Source organism: Homo sapiens, chromosome 10, assembly GCF_000001405.40.
Source record: "Homo sapiens chromosome 10, GRCh38.p14 Primary Assembly".
Classification (NCBI taxonomy): domain Eukaryota; kingdom Metazoa; phylum Chordata; class Mammalia; order Primates; family Hominidae; genus Homo; species Homo sapiens.
The window spans coordinates 132549770-132571857 of NC_000010.11; the positions used below are offsets into that span (position 1 = coordinate 132549770).

The following is a 22088-nucleotide window of genomic DNA, read 5'->3' on the forward strand; positions in this document are numbered from 1 at the left end:
CTCTGCCCCTGGTCTGAATGGTGGGGTTGGTGTGTCTCTGTTACAGGATTGGTGTGACGTCTGAGTCACTGTGCCTTAGAGTACGGAGTCAGCCTCAAATTATTAACCAGGCATTAGGGGATGGGGTCAGCCTCGAGTTACTAACCGGGCATTAGGGGATGGGGTCAGCCTCGAGTTACTAACCGGGCATTAGGGGATGGGGTCAGCCTCGAGTTACTAACCGGGCATTAGGGGATGGGGTCAGCCTCGAGTTACTAACCGGGCATTAGGGGATGGGGTCAGCCTCGAGTTACTAACCGGGCATTAGGGGATGGGGTCAGCCTCGAGTTACTAACCGGGCATTAGGGGATGGGGTCAGGCTCGAGTTACTAACCAGGCAGTAGAAGATGGGGTCAGTCTTGAGTTATTAGTATTTATCGGGGAGAGCAGAGAGAGCTTAGGAGACCACATTGCCACTGTTTAGGGTCAGAGTGGTCCCGCAGGTTAATTCACTTCACCCAGCCTCTCAGGGATGTAATGAGGCTGCTCGGGGGGCTGTCTCAGGCCTCTGGCCAGTAGTCCCTGTCCTCTCCAGCGACCGCTCTCTCCTGGGTGTCAGTGGTTTTTGGGAGTCCAGGTGCAGGTCTCAGCAGCAACTCTGAGGTTCTGCATAGCTAGTGCCACCTGTGACACTGCTGTCACTCCAAGGTGCACCTCACCACACCTGGAGCAGCGCCCGTGAGAGGAGGGAAGCGACACCCTTGGGCTGAGCTTTTCCGTGAACCGGCAGCTGTGTCCCTTGACGTGCTGAGAGGGCCTGGCTGTGAGCCGCATGGTACGAACCTTCTGAATGCAAGTGGCCAAGCCGGCATTCTGGCTGGGCTCGCTGGCCACAGGACGTCCACTGTAGGACAGCTGGGAGTGGGGGTGTCTGGCTATTTCACTATTAAAACAAGTGGAAACACTAGTTTGGTCCCGCCTGACCTCATGGAAGACGGTGGAGGTGGCAGCCGCCAGAGTGTGAGGGGCCATGGTCGCTGACCTCGCCTCCTGTTGTCTTAGATCCTTGGCACTGCAGGGGCGGTTCTGCCAGACATAGCTGTTGTCTCTTTGGCCACCAACTGGCCCCTATGGCGTTTGGCCTTCAGGGTGGTCATTGGGTGCGTGGCTCTCTAGGGTGGACCTGGCCATCCTTGGGTGACAGTGGGCCATGTGGTGGGGACTCTGCAGGCCACCTGGAAAGGGGTCCACCTGAAAGGGGCTGCACTGTGGTCCATTTGGGCCAGTGGCTTCAGTAGCCACACGCTGCTTGGTCCAGGTTCCTGCCTGAGCCCACTGAGCAGATGATGGGGATGAGGCCCAGAGTGCGAGCCTGGTGGGCAGCTGTGGAGCCTTATCCCTGAGCACCCTCCCTTGCCTACCTTTCAGGCTTCTGAGCGGCTGTCAGTTGCCACCTGCTGGCACTGTGAATGTTAGACTGCAGAGCTGAGTGGGGAGCCCCTTCCTGTGGTCCCTGGCACTCTGACCACATGGATGAGCCTGCGAGTGTGAAGCTGAGAACTGGGTTGACTGCCTGCTGCTTTGTTTCTTGCAAAGAGTGCCTTAGTTAGGGGACAGGCCAGCCCACCGTCATCTGCCTGCAGCGTCCCTCCAGGTGGTCGGGGGACACCGGGCTTCTGGGTCAGCAAGTGTTTGCCATACGCCTGGGTGCAAAGTGGACCAGCCACTGTGGGTCATGTGGGGGGATTTGGGTGGGACTCTCAGAGGAGCTGGTTCTCTTGAGAAAGACATCTGTCCAAGTAGCACACAGACTTGTGGGGACATATGACTTGCTTTAATTTTCTCCATCACCGTTACGGTTTTTCAGAGCTGTTGCAACTTCCTGTTTGCTGTAACGGCTGTGCCTCCCTCGCTGCTGCAGTGGGCAGTGTGTGCGTCGTACACAGGTGGAAGGTGGAGGCCTGGGCCCAGGCTGGAGGGACGTGGGGTGGGAATGGGCCTGACCAGCTAGGGAACAGAGGCAGGACCCAGGGGGACAGAGGCAGGACTGACCAAGACTGTCAGAAGAGCCAGCCGGGGTCTTCTCTGAATAGTCGGCTGCACGATTAAACTGGGTTCTGCTCGGGGAGTCCCTGGGGTTTGGAGCTCTGCCTGCCTTGCGGCCCAACCTGGCAGTACCCCCCACACAGGGGTCCAGGTGTCCTCTGATTCTGCTGTGCTGAGTCTGTTGGTGGAGCAGGAGGCCCAAGGACCAGGAGAGCTTCTGTGTGAGGCTGTGTCCTCCTGCATCCTTGTCTCCCATTCACTCGGGAGCATTTATGGGCGCATTCTCAGAGCCTTGGTGAAGTTGGAGTGGGATAGGGAGGGAGGATTGGTGGCGCCTTCTCAGAGCCTTGGTGGCATATTGAGTGGGATAGGGAGGGAGGATTGGTGAATGCCTTCTCAGAGCCTTGGTGGCATATTGAGTGGGATAGGGAGGGAGGATTGGTGAATGCCTTCTCAGAGCCTTGGTGGCATATTGAGTGGGATAGGGAGGGAGGATTGGTGAACGCCTTCTCAGAGCCTTGGTGGCATATTGAGTGGGATAGGGAGGGAGGACTGGTGAACACCTCCTCAGAGCCTTGGTGGCATATTGAGTGGGATAGGGAGGGAGGATTGGTGAACGCCTTCTCAGAGCCTTGGTGGCATATTGAGTAGGATAGGGAGGGAGGATTGGTGAATGCCTTCTCAGAGCCTTGGTGGCATATTGAGTGGGATAGGGAGGGAGGATTGGTGAACGCCTTCTCAGAGCCTTGGTGGAATATTGAGTAGGATAGGGAGGGAGGATTGGTGAATGCCTTCTCAGAGCCTTGGTGGCATATTGAGTGGGATAGGAAGGGAGGATTGGTGAACACCTTCTCAGAGCCTTGGTGGAATATTGAGTAGGATAGGGAGGGAGGATTGGTGAACGCCTTCTCAGAGCCTTGGTGGCATATTGGGTAGGATAGGGAGGGAGGATTGGTGAACGCCTTCTCAGAGCCTTGGGGGAATATTGGGTAGGATAGGGAGGGAGGACTGGTGAACGCCTTCTCAGAGCCTTGGTGGCATATTGAGTAGGACAGGGAGGGAGGACTGGTGAACGCCTTCTCAGAGCCTTGGTGGCATATTGGGTAGGATAGGGAGGGAGGATTGGTGAACGCCTTCTCAGAGCCTTGGTGGAATATTGGGTAGGATAGGGAGGGAGGATTGGTGAACGCCTTCTCAGAGCCTTGGTGTGGAATATTGGGTAGGATAGGGAGGGAGGATTGGTGAACGCCTTCTCAGAGCCTTGGTGGAATATTGAGTAGGACAGGGAGGGAGGACTGGTGAACGCCTTCTCAGAGCCTTGGTGGAATATTGGGTAGGATAGGGAGGGAGGATTGGTGAACGCCTTCTCAGAGCCTTGGTGGCATATTGGGTAGGATAGGGAGGGAGGATTGGTGAACGCCTTCTCAGAGCCTTGGTGGAATATTGGGTAGGATAGGGAGGGAGGATTGGTGAACGCCTTCTCAGAGCCTTGGTGGAATATTGGGTAGGATAGGGAGGGAGGATTGGTGAACGCCTTCTCAGAGCCTTGGTGGCATATTGAGTGGGATAGGGAGGGAGGACTGGTGAACGCCTTCTCAGAGCCTTGGTGGAATATTGAGTAGGATAGGGAGGGAGGACTGGTGAACGCCTTCTCAGAGCCTTGGTGGAATATTGAGTAGGATAGGGAGGGAGGACTGGTGAACACCTTCTCAGAGCCTTGGTGTGGAATATTGAGTGGGATAGGGAGGGAGGATTGGTGAACGCCTTCTCAGAGCCTTGATGTGGAATATTGAGTGGGATAGGGAGGGAGGATTGGTGAATGCCTTCTCAGAGCCTTGGTGTGGAATATTGAGTAGGATAGGGAGGGAGGATTGGTGAATGCCTTCTCAGAGCCTTGGTGTGGAATATTGAGTGGGATAGGGAGGGAGGATTGGTGAACGCCTTCTCAGAGCCTTGGTGTGGAATATTGAGTAGGATAGGGAGGGAGGATTGGTGAACGCCTTCTCAGAGCCTTGGTGGAATATTGGGTAGGATAGGGAGGGAGGATTGGTGAATGCCTTCTCAGAGCCTTGGTGGCATATTGGGTAGGATAGGGAGGGAGGATTGGTGAACGCCTTCTCAGAGCCTTGGTGGAATATTGGGTAGGATAGGGAGGGAGGATTGGTGAACACCTTCTCAGAGCCTTGGTGGAATATTGAGTGGGATAGGGAGAGAGGATTGGTGAACGCCTTCTCAGAGCCTTGGTGGCATATTGAGTAGGACAGGGAGGGAGGACTGGTGAACACCTTCTCAGAGCCTTGGTGGAATATTGAGTGGGATAGGGAGGGAGGATTCGAGGGCGCCTCCTCAGAGCCTTGGTTAAATATTTATTCAGATAGGAAGTATTTGGAATATCTGTTGTCACTTTCAGGGCCTCACTAGCCTGTTGTGCTCACAGGGCAAAGGGGTAGTGTACTGTGCTGCCTGGCTCCACGGCTGTGGTCACCGGCTTCCCTGGCTTCTGAGCTCCAGCAGGAGATGAGGGATTTGTCCAGTGGCTGGAGGGTGGCTTAGGGCACGCAGAGTCCACAGTGCAGGTGGACACCGCAGAGGGTCTCCTGGGCAAGTGGCGGGGCTGGGTTCTGAGGGCTTCAGAGGATCAGAGCCAACTGGAGAATAAGGAAGGGGCAGCTGTTCAGGCTACTGAGAGGCGGGAAATAGGTGCTGAGCCTGCCTGGGAAGCTGCGTGGTTGGTGCGGTTGATGTGGGTGGCATGGGTGTTGTGGGTTGTGGTTGGCGTGGTTGGTGTGGGTGGCATGGGTAGCATGGTCCATGTGGGTGGCATGATTAGCACTGATGTGGGTAGCGTGGTTGGTCCATGTGGGTAGTATAGGTGGCGTGGTATTGTGTGTGGCATGATTGCTGTGGTTGGTGTGATCAATGTGGGTGGCGTGGTATTGTGTGTGGCATGATTGGTGTGGGTGGCGTCGTTGGCACTGATGTGGGTAGCGTGGTTGGTCCCTGTGGGTAGTATGGGTGGCGTGGTATTGTGTGTGGCATGATCGGTGTGGGTGGTGTGATCAATGTGGGTGGTGTGGTTGGCATTGATGTGGGTAGCATGGGTGGTATGGGTGGCATGGTGTGGGTGGCATGGTTGGTGTGGGTGGCATGGGTAGCATGGTCCATGTGGGTGGCATGATTGGCACTGATGTGGGTAGCGTGGTTGGTCCCTGTGGGTAGTATGGGTGGCATGGTATTGTGTGTGGCATGATTGGTATGGGTGGCGTGGTTGGCATTGATGTGGGTAGCATGGGCAGTGTGGGTGGCATGGCTGCTGTGGGTGACATAGGTGGTGTGGCTGGCGTGGTTAGTGGGTGGCATAGATGGCATGGTGGGGTGGGGGGGTGTGGATGGCAAGCGGCAGGACCAGGTGCTGCAGGCTGGGTGGTGATATGTGATGGTGCTCAGGCCCCTGTTCCTTCACCGTGCTGGGGAAGGGCGCTCCTGATCCCTCTGTGAGACCAGTGAGAAGATGTCGTAGGAGAGGCTGTTGTCCCCTGAGTACGTTCACCCCATTTTACAGGCGCTGGCCCAGTGGAGCTGCTGGGGCCTATCTGTTTTTTTGAACTTCTGATAAGTTGCCTGGCCGGAAGGGGAAGAAGGGGGGCTTGGGCTGGGGCGTGGCCACGCTGGGAGGATGAGGAGCTTGAAGTGACTCAGGGGACCTGGCGCCGTTGGTGTGTGCTCACAAAGTGCACGGGGTGACCAGGAGCCTCTGGACAGTGGGGCCGTCCTGACTCGCCTCCTGAGAGCCGTGGGTCACAAACTCAAATGCACACACTTGGGGCTTCTATCCTATCAGGGAGAGAGTTCAAGTGTATCCTAGCGTCTTGGAGAAAAATGGTCTATGAACTTTGATAACCTTGACAATTTTAGTTTAGTTTTCGTGCAGAGTGACCCAGACAGGCACAACACTGACACACCTTGTCACACTCTGCAGGGTGTTTTGTTGCCCTCAGCACGTGTGGTCTGCACAGACAGACCAGGGGGTGACTTCAGCGTTTTATGGCAGCTGCTGCATTAGGAATCTGCGTCACAGATGAAAAACACGCGTTTCCCCTTTTCGTAAGAGGATGAACAGCCTCTCACCTGCTGGAATTCACCTTGGCTCAGCGCTTGGTGCTTTTGATGGAGAAAATTCAGTTCCAGACTTGGGTGGAACCTGAGTTGGGGTCTGCCGTGCCCTGGTGTCTCGGGGGGCTGCCCGGCCCCTGAAGTGGAGGAGCCGCCTTCACCCAGGCATCTGTCCCAGCCTGTGGGCTCCCTTCCTTGTGCAGATGCCTGGCCCAGCCCCCGTGCTGAAGTTGCCAGATGTATAGGTCCTCCTTGATGGCACGCTCCGGGGGCTGTCACTATGCCACCTGTGTCCTCCTGTGGCTTTGTCCTGCAGGCATTGTGAGGTCATGCAGCATTTTAACTGCTGTGAAATTTGCTCCACCGAGTGAACACACCAGAATGCATCCACAGACCCACAGTGGACACTGAGGCTGTTTCCTGTTCGGCTGTCACATGGGCTGATGCGGCGAGCCCTCTCCGTGCACCTCCACGGGGACCAGGGCCAGAATATCTGGGCACCTGTTGGGGCTGGTGGAAGCTGCTCTCCAGTGTGCCAAGTTTCTGTACACACATGCACATCACACACTTGCACACCACAGGCACACACATGCATGTACAAGCATGCACTACACAGGTGCATATGTACACACCATACACATGCACAACATACATATACATACATGCATACCACATAGGCACACACATGTGCATCACACACATGCTCATCACACACTCCCACCAGGCCGTCGGAGAGTCCCTGATATTCCACATCCTTGACAACTTTTGTTGTGGTCAGGCTTTAAAATGTGACCTATTAGATGTGTAAAATGGCATCTGTTATAATTTAATTTGCATTGCCTTGGTTACTTGTATTATCATTTTGGGGATTTTTTTTTTTGGTTTTCTATGATTTTGATTTTAGAACTTTGGAGCCCTTGCAGATCTTGTATTTAGGTTGCTGATAAGTTATTTGATGAGGCAGTGACTGTAGGGTTTGTGGAATAGACACTTCTGTCATTGTGCTCCCTGATGCTGAGTGACTTAGGCTTGTGACTTCTCAGGACGGTGTTTACTGATGGGTGTAGAGAGGTCACTTTCTGTGGCACTCTTGGCTGAAAGTTTTCTTCCTGAGTCTCATTGTACGCACATGTTGTGGCCTTTGTGTGTGTGTTTCTTTTGTATGCTGTGACACCGGTTTGGTAGGTCTGAGTGGAGATTTGGTCAGTTCCGCCTAAAGGCCGACGGGCCCGGCTTTCTGGGGAGAAGGTTTTCCCTTGCAGAGGGGTATCCTTTGGTGTCTGTTGCCGCTGTGACCGACTGTCTCACATGAGGGATGGAGTCCAGGCTGAGGCACCCTCGCCCGGGGCCACTGTGACTCCCATGGAGCCTGGGATTTGTTCCGGTTAGGCCACGGGTCACAGTGCTCAGTGCCGGGCAGATGTGGGCTCCTGCAGCAGTGCCCTCCTGCAGCACGCGGGCACCTGGCCTGTGCCACACCTGCGCAGTGTCACCGTGCTGCAGAGGAGCCCCCATGCAGAGTCACGAGGGGGGTTTCCCCAACTGCTTAATGCCAACAAGAGACCTGCGTAGAAATCAGAAGAAAATGGCCGCTCTCAGCTGCTGGTTCAGCTGCTCATTTTTGTGTAGGGCCGAGTCAATTTTTTCTTCTTGCCTCTTTTCTGAGTTGATGTTGATGCCAGCAAGTGCAGAGGGTCATTGAGTGCTGGTTTGAACCTGGTGCCTATGGAATTGATGTCTGTCAGACTTAGGGTGTAACCACAGGTTGTGAGGTCATTTTGAGGGGTCAGACCATATTTGGGTTAAAAGGGGCCCGAGTGTCTCGGGCTGCAGGGAGGTGAGTCCTGGAGGTACTTACCATAGTTTTCTGTTGAATGCCTCTGGGCCTGGGCGGGGAGGGCCATAGCCTAAAGTGTGCATCTTACCCTGGGTCTCTGTTCAGAGTGTGGCAGCCACGGCTTATGGCGGGAGTGACGCCAGGCTGGACAGAGCCAGGTGAGGCCCTGTGCTCCCTCAGTCTGTCCCGCGTGCCCGCCTCCTGCTGCGAGAATTCTAGTCCCTGTCTTCCCAGTGGACCTGGGGGCTGGACTGTGGTCATTTTCACTGTTGAAAGTGAGAAGATTCTCACCCATGAAAAATTAAATTGCTGTAGAACCTAAACATGGCCACCGTGTCTTCTTAACTGGTAGTAAAAGCCACCTGGCTGTCCAGGTGGAGGCTCCGCAGGGCAGGTCAGAGTACCTGGAGGTGTCAGCAGGGAAGGGGCGCTCTGTGTCCTGATAGCCTTCCCGCCAGCTGCGCATGTGATGGGGTGTGCCAAGGGCCACGCAGAGCCGCGACTTCCCCAAGCTGCTCCGGGTGTCCCCGGCCCACGCGCTGAGCACGCTCTGGGGCTCTCCCCCCCGGCCCACGCTCTCCTGAGAGGCCACTCGCTCCGGGGCTAATCATGGTTAATCCCACATGATCCTCGCCTGACATCCAGTCCCCCTCCTCAGGCCCTGACAGCTGCATGGTGTGTTGGTATTTCTGCCTCCTGAAGCCACGTCCACGTCGGCTCCTGTGCAGTAGAGACCGGAGTCTCCATCAGGCTCCCTCTGGGGGCGGGTGGTCCATATGCATGGGGTCCACTTGTCCCTCATGTCCAGTCTCCTGTGGCTGGAAGAGCTCCAGGTGTGGAGAGAGGCCAGCTGCAGCTGCCGATGAGGAGCGCTGTTGGAGGAGCCCTTCCTCCTTCTCCCTGGAGCTGGGGGACGCTCCAGGTAGGGAGGCGGTAGCCTTGGCAGCATTGGGCTCAGTGCTAGCCTAGCCTCGCTGCCATCGCATGCAGTTGACCAGCTTCTTGACATCCTTTGCCTAAACTCCTCAGGGTCAGCGTGGGACCAGGATATTCCATGTGGCTTTTGAAGCCGGCAGTCGCCTTGCAGTGGTGATTCCCAGGTGGAACCCTCAGGCAGCTGTGCGCTGCAGCCTCCGGGGCCATGGGTGTGTGGCTCTGGGAGCTGCCGTTCCCTCCACACCCCTTAGGGAAGTCCTCTGCTCACGGTGCCCACCCTGGTCGAGCCCAGCCAGCTGGAGCCTTCCTCCCAGACCCATCGGCCTCCTCGGGACAGTCCAGCCCCGTCCTCTGGCCCATGCCCTCTCTGTCCCCGCCTCCTGCCCAGCCAGCTTCCTGAGGGTCCCTGAGCTTGCCCGGCTGGCCACTCACTGCCTCATGGTCCTTGATCACACACAGACGTGGTGGTGTGCTCGCCTCTGGAGGAAGGCTGCCCGCCGCTCGGGGCCGTCGGTGGCTTCGGAGCTGTGGCAGCTCTCTTAGGGCCAGCTCCATCCCCTCTCCCCGGCCCTGCTGAGTGAAGCGCACACGTGGTAAATCTGCCCCATCAGTGGGGGGTTAGTCCTGTCATTTGGGGAAGCCTGTGTTGGCTGCATTTATTGTTGTCGATATTACTTTTAATTAGGACAAAATTCAGGCACCATAAAACCTACAGTTCAGTGTTTTAGCGTGTTCACAAGGTCGTGTGACCTTCGCCCCTGATTTCAGAATGTTTTTATCACCTCTGAAAGAAACCCAGTACCCATTTGATGACACCCTCCTTTCCCCCCTTCCGCCAACCACGAAGCCACTTCTGTCTCTGTGGATTGACCTGGATGTTTCATGCAAATGGAATCAAACAGCGTGTGGCCTTCGCATCGTACTTCACGTGCTCAGCACGTGTGTTCCAGGGACCTCACTTACTCAGCACGTGTGTTCCAGGGACCTCAGTTACTCAGCACGTGTGTTCCAGGGACCTCAGTTACTCAGCACGTGTGTTCCAGGGACTCCATTTACTCAGCACGTGTGTTCCAGGGACCTCAGTTACTTAGCATGTGTGTTCCAGGGACTCCACTTACTCAGCACGTGTGTTCTGGGCTCACCTGTGCTTCTTCCTTATGACTGAATGCTGTTTATTGTGCGGAGATCACATTTCATGTATCTGTTCATCAGTGGATGGACATGAGTGTCCATGTGCAAGTTGCTGTGTGAACCTGTGTCTCCAGCTCTCTCGGGTGTAGACCTGCTTGTGGGGTTGCTGTGTGAACATGTGTCTCCAGCTCTCTTGGGTGTAGACCTGCTTGTGGAGTTGCTGTGTGAACATGTGTCTCCAGCTCTTTCGGGTGTAGACCTGCTTGTGGAATTGCTGGGTCACGATGTGTCTTCAGCTCTCTTGGGTGTAGACCTGCTTGTGGAGTTGCTGTGTGAACATGTGTCTCCAGCTCTCTTGGGTGTAGACCTGCTTGTGGAGTTGCTGTGTGAACCTGTGTCTGCAGCTGTCTCGGGTGTAGACCTGCTTGTGGAATTGCTGGGTCACGATGTGTCTTCAGCTCTCTTGGGTGTAGACCTGCTTGTGGAGTTGCTGGGTCACGTGATAATTCTGACTTTTTAAGGAACTGCCAGACTCTTTCCACAGCAGCTGCAGCATTTTTCGTTCTTGTGAGCAGTGTCTGAGGGCTGCAGACTTCCAACATCACAGAACAGTACTCGTGATTGTCCATCTTTTTTACTGTAACCGTCCTGGTGGGTGTGCAGTGGTATCTCCTGGTGGCTTTGAATTGCATTTCCCTGATGAGTAATCATGTTGAGTGTCTTTCGTGTGCTTACTGGGTATTTGTAGATCTGCTTTGAAGCAACGCTTATTCAAATCCATGGCACATTTTAATTTTTTTTTTTAAGAGACAGATTCTCGCTCTGTTGCTCAGGCCGGAGGGCAGTGGTGCGATGATAGCTCACTGCAGCCTCCTCTTGGGCTCAAGGTATCCTCCCACCTCCCAAGCAGCAGTGTCTCACGTAGCTGGGACTACAGGTGTGTGTCAGCATGCTTGGCTAATTTTAAAAAGTTTTAGTTTGTAAATACAGGGTCTTGCTATGCTGTAGTCTGGTATCAAACTGTAGGCCTCAAGCAGTCCTCCTGCCTTGGCCTCCCAAAATGCTGGGATTATAGGTGTGAACCACCATGCCCAGGCTTTTTTTTTTTTTAATTGTTGAGTTTAAAGAGATCTTTACATATTCTGGATGCTAGACCCTTATTAGATAGATATGTAATTTACAAATGTTTTCTCTTGTTCTGTGTGTTGTCTTCGCTTTTTTGATAGTGTCGTTTGAAGCACTTTTTTTTTTTTTTTTTTTGAGACAGGGTCTTCCCCTGTTGCCCAGGCTGGAGTTCATGGAGTTCAGTGGTGTGATCGTGGTTCATTGCAACCTCGACCTCCTGGGCTCCAGTGATCCTCCCACCCCAGCCTCTGGAATAGCAGGGACTACAGACTTGTATCACCACACCTGGCTAGTTTTTTTTAAGTTTTGTGCTTCAGCTATCATAACCAGAAGCCATTTCCTAATCAAGGTCACAAAAATTTACCCTTATTTTTTCTTTTTAGATTTTTATAGTTTTAGCTCTTACATGTAGGTCTTTGAAATATTTTGAGTTAATTTTTGTATCTGGTGTGAGGTAGGGGTCTTCATTCTTTTGCATATCCATATCTGGTTGTCTCGGTACCATTTTTGAAAAGACTATTCTTCCTCATTGAATTGTCTTGGCATCCTTGTTGGAAGTTAATTGACCATGAATATATAGATTTATTTTTGGACTCTTGATTCTGTTTCATTATCTATGTGTCTGTCCTTATGCCAGTACCACAGACCTGATCATTGTAGCATTGAGGTAGGTTTTGAAATCAGAAAGTGAGAGTTCCAACTTTGTTGTCTTTTATTCAAGATTGTTTTGACTATTCTGGTGTCCTTCCATTTCTGTTTTGATTTTAGGATTAGTTTGTCAATTTCCACACACACACACACACACACACACACACACACACACACAACCCTGCTGGAATTTACACACACCACCCTGCTGGAATCTACACACACACAACCCTGGTGGAATTTTGGGGGTTGCGTTGGATCTGTAGATGCAGTTCTTACTTAATAGGGGTTGGTCCTGGGGAGGGGAGCAGATGGCTTGGCCCTGTCCTCAGGGGCATGTGATGTGGCTGGGAGATCCCGGCAAGATGATTTTAAAGCCTCCCTTGTGGGTTTGTCAGCTTCAGGGTTCTAGTTATGATGGGCAAACTCATGTCTGCAGTTTAAGTAGGAAAGGAAGTTTAAAAACACAAAACATCAGGTGGTGCCCAGGAAGGGCCGAAGAGCCAGGCTTGGCGGCCTCCTGTGAAGAGGGGTGCATTCACCTGCACTGTGCACCGTGAGGCTCACCTGCGGCTTCTGGGGCCTGGCGTCCTCCTCCTGCTGCACCGCCCTCGCCCAGTTGGTGCCAGGCATGACCTCTGCACATCACAGGTGTCCAGGGCTTGATACGGCTGGGCCAGGCCTGGCACCCAGGGAACCTGGGAGGCACCTTCTGCGTGGCCCGCTCGCCACCTCTGGCCTGTCTGCTGCCTGTCTGCAGCCCTTCTGGAAGTGGGCACAGACCTGGCAGTGTTGTCAGGAGGTGGGAGGACACGTAGGTGAACCTGGGCCTGGGGGTGGCTCCCCCCATGAGGTGCGTAGAGTTCCTGTGAGGAGTGTGCACCCAGCAGCTCGTCGGGTCACAGCGAGGTGCAGCCTCGGCTCCCTGCACACCCGTCACACCTCTGCATGACAGGCAGAGACTGCGTTCTGGATGTGGCTGCCGCCTGCGGCTCCCAGCACGTGAAACATGGTGCGTGTTGCACACACGGCACGAGTGTGGCCAGTATGAACTGGAGCTGGTTTTCTTGAGGTGGAGAAAGCCCTGCTGGCTTCTCTTTCCCTCAGAGCCCACGGCACTGTGAGGAGCGGCATGCTTCCACGGCTCATCTCGAGGGTGAATTAAAGTCACCCCACGCCCAGGACCAGACCTTGGCTCTGCAGGCCTGTGGGGATGGATGGCAGCTGCAGAGGCCCCTCGAGAGGGACAGAGCCTTGAGCTTGGAGCTCTGTGAAGTCGCAGGCTCGGGGCGGTGGTGCCCTCCTTCCCCTGCTCTGGTATCTCAGGTCCTGTCTGCTCCCTGGTGCCCCCTTCCCTGTATGCTCTTCCCTGGCCATGCCGGCTGCTCTGCAGAGGGCTTCAGGGAGGGTTGTGGGGAGGGCGCGGGGAGGAGGTGCCCTCATGGGCCAGAACTGGCAGGAGGTGAGGAGGTGCCATGCCCCCGCCCAGGCAGAGGGACTGCGAGGTGCTGGAGGAGACCAGATGGGGAGGGGCTGGGAGAGACTGACATTCTGTTCAGATTCCAGGCTGTGGAGCTGGGCCCTGGAGCAGCCACACTTGGCGGCTGTGAGTTGGCCTCAGGGTCCTGCTGAGTGCCAGGTCCCTGCACACCCTCACAGTCCCTGGGGGCTGGCGGTGGCATTGGCATTGCTGAGGGTCTTGGCCAATCTGTTAGGGAAGTGGGGTCTCCGGGGCCGAGCTCTGCTCTGGGGTGTGGATAGCACAGCGTCTGCCGGGTGCTGCGGGAGCCTTTTCTGTGGGGATGTGGGTCCTGCAAATGTGAGCACCAGCTGTGATTAAATCAAGGACAGTGAACAGCAGCGCCGTCATCTTCATGAGTTCACAAAAACCTATTGCTTTATGTCTTATTAGGTGAATTTAGAATGTATACAGGGTAGGAAAAGCAGCAGAAAATAGCAGGTGTGTTTGGGAAGATCATCATTACTGCCTGTTACACTGAATAACTTCAAAATCAAAAGGGTTCCTCTCTCAGGACTGCTGCTGAAAAACGAAGTGCGAGTGGGTGTCCTACAGAAAAATTAAAGGAAAGAGAGAAAGGAAAGGAAAGGAGAGAAAGGAAAGGAAAGGAAAGAAAGGAAAGCACACCATAAGTTCACCCCGACAAGCAAATTGGTTGTTGGTTTTCCTTGCGCTTGCTGGTGAGACAGCCCCGGGGGATTTATAACTCGCCTTCTCACTGCTTTGGTGGTTTGCCGCCTGTAGTGGGGGCCGGTTGCCAGGGAGGCGTATTCACTTCCATGGTGGCTCATGTCCACTCTACTCTGAGCCCTGAGCCCTGGCGGCTGAGTCAGGGCAGAGCGGGAGCAAAGTCGTCCTGGTTCATACCTGAACCGAGAGGCCCGGCCGCGGCTGTGGTCTGCAAACTCACCAAGCCATTTCGGCATCTTTTAACCACAAAGGATAGGTGTGAGGATGCCTTCTCAGTTAGGACAGTTTCAGCAGCTGGTTCAGGAGCCTGCTGCTGCTCCCCTGGGCTTCTCACCTCACGATTTTTTGTCCTGCTCGTTGCTGTCATTGTCTCGGCTTGTTTGGGGAAATGTGGCGTGCGCGTTGTGGGTATGGCCACCGCCATCAGTGGGGAGACCATGATTGGTCCCTGGGGTGACACATGATCCTGGGGAGGGAAGGCGAGGGTCCCAGGGGACCTCTTACGGATCTTATGGAGGAGTTGGACTTCTCCCTCCACCCCGATTCAGGGACTGCGCTTCTTGAAGAGGGTTGTGAGCACGTCTCTGGTGGGCTTGGAGGCCCTGACCTGCTCAATGGGTGAGTGACAAATGGTTTTTCATGGTAGCCAGGGTCTCCCAGAGCCCCTGGCTGCCTCCCTGGGCTGTGCGGCCCCTCCTCCTCCTCAGAGTCACCGGCCCAGGGCTCAGCTCACTGTGAGTCGGTGGCCGTGAAAATAGCACTGGCAATGGAGGGTCGTTTCCAACAGTTCAGTGTTATTGGAGTAGAAGTTTATATAACAAGAGTGTATTTTAACTGGATGAAAATTTACTATTAAAAATAAACAGACCTTGCCAAATGGCAGTGAGTGCAGGGCAGACGGGAGTGTGCAGTGTGACTTTTGGGTGCCCAGGCCCTGCCAGTGGCCGCTGGGCCCAGCTCTTGTTTGGAGCTCCTGGTGGCAGATGGGCTCTTCTATGAGGTCTGGGAGTTCTGGTCAGTGGGATGGCGTCACCTGGGGCTCCTTATTCATGCAGCACGTGTCTGTTGCATGCCCCCGTATGCCTGGGCCTGTGCTGGCCGTGAGAATTCCACCCATGGGCTCTGGGCTGTGCTTGGGTCACCTGGTATGAGCCTCTGCCACCCCGCTCCCCACAGCAGCAGTACCAACACCAACAAGCCATTCACAGCGCTGCTTTACGACGTTTGTGCTGAATAGAGAGTTTGGAATGTCCCTGCGTATTTTATAGAGTGAGATGGTACATATCTAAAGATTTATTTTAATTCTTAAAAAAATTTTGTTTTGTTTTGTTTTCGAGTCAAGGTCTCAGCTCTGTTGTCCAGGCTGGTGTGCATGGCATGGTCACGGCTTACTGCAGCCTTGACCTTCTGGGCACAAGGGATCCTCCTGCCTCAGTCTCCCTGAGTGCTGGGATTACAGGCATGCACCACCACACCTGGCCAGTTTTAAGTCTGACCCTAAACAACTCAAGGAATAAGCCAAAGGCTTCTCTGAAGCACTTTCATCCAGTCACTTTTAACCCCATAGTTTGTGGCAACACACTCCCTGATGTGCACAGTTTGTAAGGTATTTGGAGTTTATGGGCCCACCTCAACACAACCTTCCCAGATAGCTTTGGATTTGTGTGTTTAGACAGTGGAACAGATCCAGGCCGAGGCATTACCTTTTGGCCCAGATGTCTAAAACAGGCAAGACAAAAGCCTTCCTGTGTGTGTGTATATATGTATGTGTGCGTATGTCTGTATGCATGTGCATTTGTGCATGTATGTCACTGTGTGTGCATGTGTGTATGTGTGTATATGTATGTATATGTGTATGTGTGTATGTGGGTCTATGTGTGGGTGTGTTTGTGTGAGTGCATGTGTATGTGAATGTGTGCCTGAGTTTGTGTGTGTGTGTGTGTGTGTGCGCCGTTGTGTGTGGGTCTCCGTGCATGTGTGTATGTGAATGCGTGTGAGTATGTGTGTGTGGGTCTCTGTGTATGCATGTATGTGTGCATGTGTGTATGTGAATGTGTGTGTGTGTTTGTGTGTGCCATTTCCTCCTAGTTTTGAGTCTCTTTGAATTGGAGGCTTGTGTGTGGAGGTACCTTCAGTGGAGTCTTGCAGGAGTGAAGACCACTTTGCTCAATTTCGTAGCCTGGAGCAGTCGTAGACAAGAGAGCCCTGTGGTCGGTCTCGGGGAGGCGTTGTAGCCTCAGGAGTGTTCTCTGGGTGTGACTCACACCTGGCCACATGTGTGGTCGTCCTTGGTTCTCCAAGGAAACCTGTCAAACTTAAAACAGTTTTAAGACATTAATTTGCTCAACGATGTTCAAATACTTTTGAAAAAATTGGTATGTATGCAAGGTATGCATGATGAAACTGACTCCAGAAGAGAGGGAGACACTAAATTGACCAGTTATTAGGAAAAAAATTAAAAAGATTGATCGACTTGTCAAAGTTGCTGTCCCAAAAAAGCTCCAGATGTAGGTGTTTCCAGAGTGGATTCTACCAAACTGTTGAGGAACATCCGGCCCCAGTTCCCTTTCAACCAGCCAGCTTATCAGACAGAAGGAAAATGCAGGGATACGGAGGCCCGACAGAAGGTGGCACCGTGAAAACAGCTGTGCAGTTGTCTTGCTGTTGCTTGTGAGTGAAACCATCTCGGCTTAGGACCCAATAGCAAATAAACTCGATCCAATGTGTTCATACTAGAAACGTAAGGATAAGTTCATGTTCCAAAAGGTTGAGGGATGTAATTCCCTGTTTTCATAAGTTAATAGTTCATCAGTAGAAGAAACCTTGTTAGGTTATCTCGATAGATGCTGAAAATGTATTTGTTAATATTAAATGCCTACTTTTGATTGAAAAATGATTATTCTTAATAAAATTAAAACATGTATTTCCATAATATAATTTTAAAACACAGAATCAGGCATTTCCACTAGTGTCAGGGACAAGACACCCCATGTAACCACAGTTGTGTAATATACTTTCAGAAGCTCTAGCTAGTGAAATTAACAATTTAACAAGAGAAAGAATAATGTAAATATTGAATACTAGAATGGAGAGACGTTACTTGCAAATATGATTGTGCATCTGGAAAACACAAGAGAATCTATTGAAAACCTGTAATAGTGGTTTATGGAGAAATAGTAACTGTTGCTAATCTTGAGCTCTGATCTCTCAGGAGGCACAGGGTATTAGTCCGGCTCCTGTAGGCTGCAGTAACAGAACCCCTCATGGACGGTGGTGTCATTTGCCCTGGAATGTCTGGAGGAGGGAGGCTCCCGGGTGGGCAAGCAGCTCAGTGATGTCACCAGGAACCAGTTCTTCCCCTGTCTCCATCCGGCCACCCTCCTGTGCAGGTGACACCGTCCTTCTCAGATGCCACTGTCAGATTCTCATCCCACATTCTGCAGAAGCAGGAAGGAAGCACGCAAAAATACCCAAACAACCAAAACAAAATAACTCTCTTTTACTTGGGCAACTTTTATTTCATTTATTAATTTTTTGAGATGGGGGCTCACTATGTTCCCCAAGATGGTCTTGAACTCCTAGGCTCAAGCACTTCTCCCTTCTCGGCCTCCCAGAATGCTGGGATTACAGGTGTGAGCTGCTGGGCGCAGCCCCTTGGGCAACTTTTAAAAACCTTTGTATGGTGAATAATTTTAGGTTTGGTTCCTATGTTTCCCCTGATAGGAACATCGTAAATAACCATGCTTCGTTTGTCAGAGCCAGGATGGTAACACGGGACACTACTGTTGACCAAACTACAGGCTTTATTTGGGTTTTACCAGTTTTTCCACCCACCTCCCTTTTCCGCTCCATGTAAACGTGTCTGTGGTGAAGATGCGGGGCTCGGTCTGATTTCCAAAGCTGCTTTTGCCCCTGTGGCCTGAAGTCCAACGATTCCAGCTTTTTATTCCAATATCTGGTTATTTAAAACATATTTAATGTTCTCTACATATAAAGCTTATTCAGAAAAGATTTAATGTGAATTATACTGAATTATATGCTTTCCTTTTTGAATGATCATATAACTTAGTGCTTAATTACCACATCTGGCAAAAAATTAAAAAAAAATATTGGCTGAGGCCGGGCGCGGTGGCTCACGCCTGTAACCCCAGCACTTTAGGAGGCCGAGGCGGGCGGATCATGAGGTCAAGAGATCAAGACCATCCTGGCCAACATAGTGAAACCCCGTCTCTACTGAAAATACAAAAATTAGCTGGGTGTGGTGGTGCGTGCCTGTAGTCCCAGCTACTCAGGAGGCTGAGGCAGGAGAATTGCTTGAACCTAGGAGGTGGAGGTTACGGTGAGCTGAGATCGAGCCACTGCTCTCCAGCCTGGTGACAGAGCAAGACTCCGTCTCAAAAAAAAAAAAAAAAAAAAAAAATTGGCTGAAACACCAGACATTTTTCCTGGTGTTCACCTGGTACCACCTGTGGAGGACCCGGCTAAGGGTTCCTATGTGTTTCTCTGGAAGCCATTTCCATGTGTATCGATAGCGAAGTTTGTTTTAATATTTCAAAAGTTGCCCTTAATGGCTCCATGAGATAACAGAATTATTAAGCTGCCTTCAATTAAAGCCTCAAGTTTTCCATTTGTAAATTAAGAATTTTTGTGGCCTGGGCACAGTGGCTCACGCCTGTAATCCCAGCTACTGGGATTACTGGGAGGCTGGTAATTGGGAGGCTGAGGTGGGTGGATCACCTGAGGTCAGGAGCTTGAGACCAGCCTGGCCAATGTGGTAAAACCCCATCTCTACTAAAAATACAAAAAAAAAAAAATTAGCCATCCGTGGTGTTGGGCACCCGTAATATCAGCCACTCAGGAGACTGAGGGAGGAGAATGGCTTGAACCCAGGAGGTGGAGGTTCCAGTGAGCCGAGATTGCACTATTGCATTCCAGCCTGGGCGACAAGAGTGAAACTCTGTCTCAAACAAAACAAAACAAAACACAAAAAAGAATTTTTTTGAGACAATTGAAGCTTAGTGAATAAGTACAGAAATTGTATTGTCAAAACTATGTAAGTTTACTACATATATTTGCAAAGAGCAAGGCAACATAGATCACAATATGTTCTTACCGGCATTTTTTTTTTTTTTTTTTTTTTGAGACGGAATCTCGCTCGGTCACCCAGGCTGGAGTGCGATGGCACGATCTCGGCTCACCACAACCTCCGCCTCTTGGATTCGAGCGATTCTCCTGCCTCAGCCTCTCGAGTAGCTGGGATTACAGGCATGTTCCACCATGCCTGTCTAATTTTTGTATTTTTAGTAGAGACAGGGTTTCTCCATGTTGGTCTTACTGGTATTCTTTTTTTGAAATTATTTTAAACATTGAGCATCTGATTAATTCTCACCATACAGCAGAGAGTGTTAAGTTCTTATACTTTCTACATGTTTTTCTTTTGGATTGTCAATTCTTTTTGGTTAAAAATAATAAAAATTTTATCTCACATGGTTTCTTCTGTTAATATGAAGCTGACATGGTCTTGTAAATGTTTCTGCATTTTGCTTGTTTTTTTGTTAGTTTGTTTTTGGTTTCTTTGAGACAGGGTCTCGCCCTGTTGCATAGGCTGGAGTGCAGTGGTGGGATCAATGCTCACTGCAGCCTCCACCTCCCTCCCAGGCTCAAGGGATCCTCCCAACTCAGCCCCCTGAGTAGCTGGGTTTACAGGAATGTGCCACCATGACCGCCTAATTTTGTTTATTTTTTGTAGAGACGGGGTCTCAGTATGTTGCCCAGGCTGGTCTCGAACTCCTGAGTGCAAGCGATTCTCTGCCTCAGCCTCCCAAAGTGCTGGGATTACAGGCGTGAGCCACCTCGCTGGGTCCCCACTGTTTTTTTTAATTAAATTTTTAGTAGAGATGGGGTTTCGCCATATTGGCCAGGCTGGTCTCGAACTCCTGACCTCAGGTGATCCACTCGCCTCAGCCTCCCAAAGTGCTGTGATTACAGGTGTGAGCCACCGCACTGGGCCCCCACTGTTTTTTTTTAATTGAATTTTTAGTAGAGATGGGGTTTCACCATATTGGCCAGGCTGGTCTCAAACTCCTGACCTCAGGTGATCCACTCACCTCGGCCTCCCAAAGTGCTGGGATTACAGGTGTGAGCCACCGCACTGGGCCCCCACTGTTTTTTTTAAATTGCATTTTTAGTAGAGATGGGGTTTCACCATATTGGCCAGGCTGGTCTCGAACTCCTGACCTCAGGTGATCCACTCACCTCAGTCTCCCAAAGTGCTGAGATTACAGGCGTGAGCCACCGCGCTGGGCCCCCACTGTTTTTTTTAATTGAATTTTTAGTAGAGACGGGGTTTCGCCTTATTGGCCAGGCTGGTCTCAAACTCCTGACCTCAGGTGATCCACTCGCCTCAGCCTCCCAAAGTGCTGGGATTACAGGTGTGAGCCTGCGCTCTGCTGATATTTTCTTGTTGGTGACTGCACGTTTGCCTTGAGCTGTGAGCTCTCATAGAACCAGATGACCATTTGGGCTCACTGTTAACTGTAGCCCTTCTGTGGATGCCCCGTGGGCACCTTCGTATCCATCAGTTTCATCTCTGGCCCTGGGAAGCGGGAGGAGTTCGGGTGGAGCTGGAGGGTTTTCCTTCCGACGAGGTATGTGGAGTCCCTCTGCGATCCTGTCTGGGGAGGGGAGAAAGGGGTGGCAAGGCTTCTCTAGCTGTCACTGGGTCCTTGAACCCCCGCTGGCCTGGTGCTGCTGCTGGTGCTGACCACACACAGACTCATGGGAGAACTGGGCAACTTGGCCACTGAATCTTCATTGTGGGTGTTTGCTTTGAATATTTCGTTTTCAGCTCTTGTGTTTCTAAGTACCAAAACACTTTTTTTTTTTTGTAAGAATTCCAGTGCACCAACAATAAAACCAAGGGACCAACTGAGCCATTTGGAAGTGGTGGCTGGGGACACCCATACGGTGGTGACACTTCTGGGTGACTGGCTGGTGCTGGGTGTTTCTGGGCTGCCAGGACAGCAGGAGGTGGGGGTGTTCTGTGCCAGTGAGCTTCGTGCTGCGATGTGGATAGAGGGCCGTCCTTCCGGCCGCTGCTGCTCTCAGGTCGCCTCTCATCGGCACAGCGGCGCATCACACGGCAGCAGCCTGCCTGGCTCTCCTGGTGGGTGGGGGCTGAGGGATGAAAACGAGGCACTCCCTCCCCACCACAGCCTACTCCCGTGGGTTCGGGGCGTTGGAACATTCTCCAAACCCCTCCTGCTGCCTGGCCAGGTCCAGCTGGGCACAGTGCACGCCCACCTGCTGGGCCCTCCTCACCGTGGGCTCCGCCCTGGGCCCTTTGGACACCTTCCCTGGCCCTGACAGCAGCTACCTGGGAATGCAGCATGAGGCAGGTGCCTTTTGCTGAATGAGGTGAACAGCAAGAGGGAGAAAAGGAGAGATCGCCTAGCAAAGCAGCGAGGCCAGAGGCTCCTGCCGAGCAGAGGAGGAGGGCCATTGGCGCAAGGACACACCCATCCCTCATCACACTGCTGGGACCTGCCTACCCTCTCTGCTGGCACGCCGGGCTCTGCCACATGGGCCTGTCTGGGCCTTGTCCTCCCCAGCTGCGGGGAAGGGCTTCTTTCAGTTCCCTTTGGGTGAACACAGAGGCCCAGCTCCTGCCGCTGTGTGTGGTTCTGGGTCACTCAGGACCACTGATAATCAAAACCACCAACTTTGGACTACACAGAGCTATTAAGGAGCTTAGCTAAATTTAAAAAAAGTGCAGCTGATATTTATGTCCTTTATGTGCCAGATAGTGCTGTAAGGATGTGGTGTGTCTCTAGGTATGTCAGCCCTGACGTTTGTGCCGTAAGGACCCGGAGTGTCTGCAGGCAGACCTGTCATCCCCGCAGCCCTGACGTGCGTGCTGTAAGGACCTCGAGTGTCTGAAGGGAGACCTATCATCTCCACAGCCCTGATGCCTGTGCTGTGTTGCTCCATTGCACAGATGGAAAGACAGGGGCTAGCGAGTGAGCAGCCAGTGTGAGGCCCTGCGGTAGCAGGTGGAGGGGGCAG

General features: G+C 52.4%; 1 protein-coding gene across 6 annotated transcripts in view, besides 6 other annotated features; it reads left to right on the forward strand.

The window, feature by feature from the left end:
- The window catches only part of INPP5A (inositol polyphosphate-5-phosphatase A), a 245694-nt gene that overhangs the window by 11983 nt on the left and 211623 nt on the right, over positions 1-22088 (forward strand). The gene's annotated exons all lie outside the window — the stretch shown is intronic.
- Positions 339-1081: an enhancer, noted in NCBI's record as "H3K4me1 hESC enhancer chr10:134363612-134364354 (GRCh37/hg19 assembly coordinates)". NCBI's record gives its function as "activates a minimal SCP1, AML or CMV promoter by ChIP-STARR-seq in primed H9 embryonic stem cells {active_cell/tissue: H9 hESC(primed)}" and the evidence as "EXISTENCE:reporter gene assay evidence [ECO:0000049][PMID:30033119]".
- Positions 1082-1822: an enhancer, noted in NCBI's record as "H3K4me1 hESC enhancer chr10:134364355-134365095 (GRCh37/hg19 assembly coordinates)". NCBI's record gives its function as "activates a minimal SCP1, AML or CMV promoter by ChIP-STARR-seq in primed H9 embryonic stem cells {active_cell/tissue: H9 hESC(primed)}" and the evidence as "EXISTENCE:reporter gene assay evidence [ECO:0000049][PMID:30033119]".
- Positions 5546-6046: an enhancer, noted in NCBI's record as "H3K4me1 hESC enhancer chr10:134368819-134369319 (GRCh37/hg19 assembly coordinates)". NCBI's record gives its function as "activates a minimal SCP1, AML or CMV promoter by ChIP-STARR-seq in primed H9 embryonic stem cells {active_cell/tissue: H9 hESC(primed)}" and the evidence as "EXISTENCE:reporter gene assay evidence [ECO:0000049][PMID:30033119]".
- Positions 10502-10551: an enhancer, noted in NCBI's record as "active region_4229". NCBI's record gives its function as "activates an Ori minimal core promoter by ATAC-STARR-seq in GM12878 lymphoblastoid cells {active_cell/tissue: GM12878}" and the evidence as "EXISTENCE:reporter gene assay evidence [ECO:0000049][PMID:35858748]".
- Positions 20567-21337: an enhancer, noted in NCBI's record as "H3K27ac-H3K4me1 hESC enhancer chr10:134383840-134384610 (GRCh37/hg19 assembly coordinates)". NCBI's record gives its function as "activates a minimal SCP1, AML or CMV promoter by ChIP-STARR-seq in primed H9 embryonic stem cells {active_cell/tissue: H9 hESC(primed)}" and the evidence as "EXISTENCE:reporter gene assay evidence [ECO:0000049][PMID:30033119]".
- Positions 21807-21946: an enhancer, noted in NCBI's record as "active region_4230". NCBI's record gives its function as "activates an Ori minimal core promoter by ATAC-STARR-seq in GM12878 lymphoblastoid cells {active_cell/tissue: GM12878}" and the evidence as "EXISTENCE:reporter gene assay evidence [ECO:0000049][PMID:35858748]".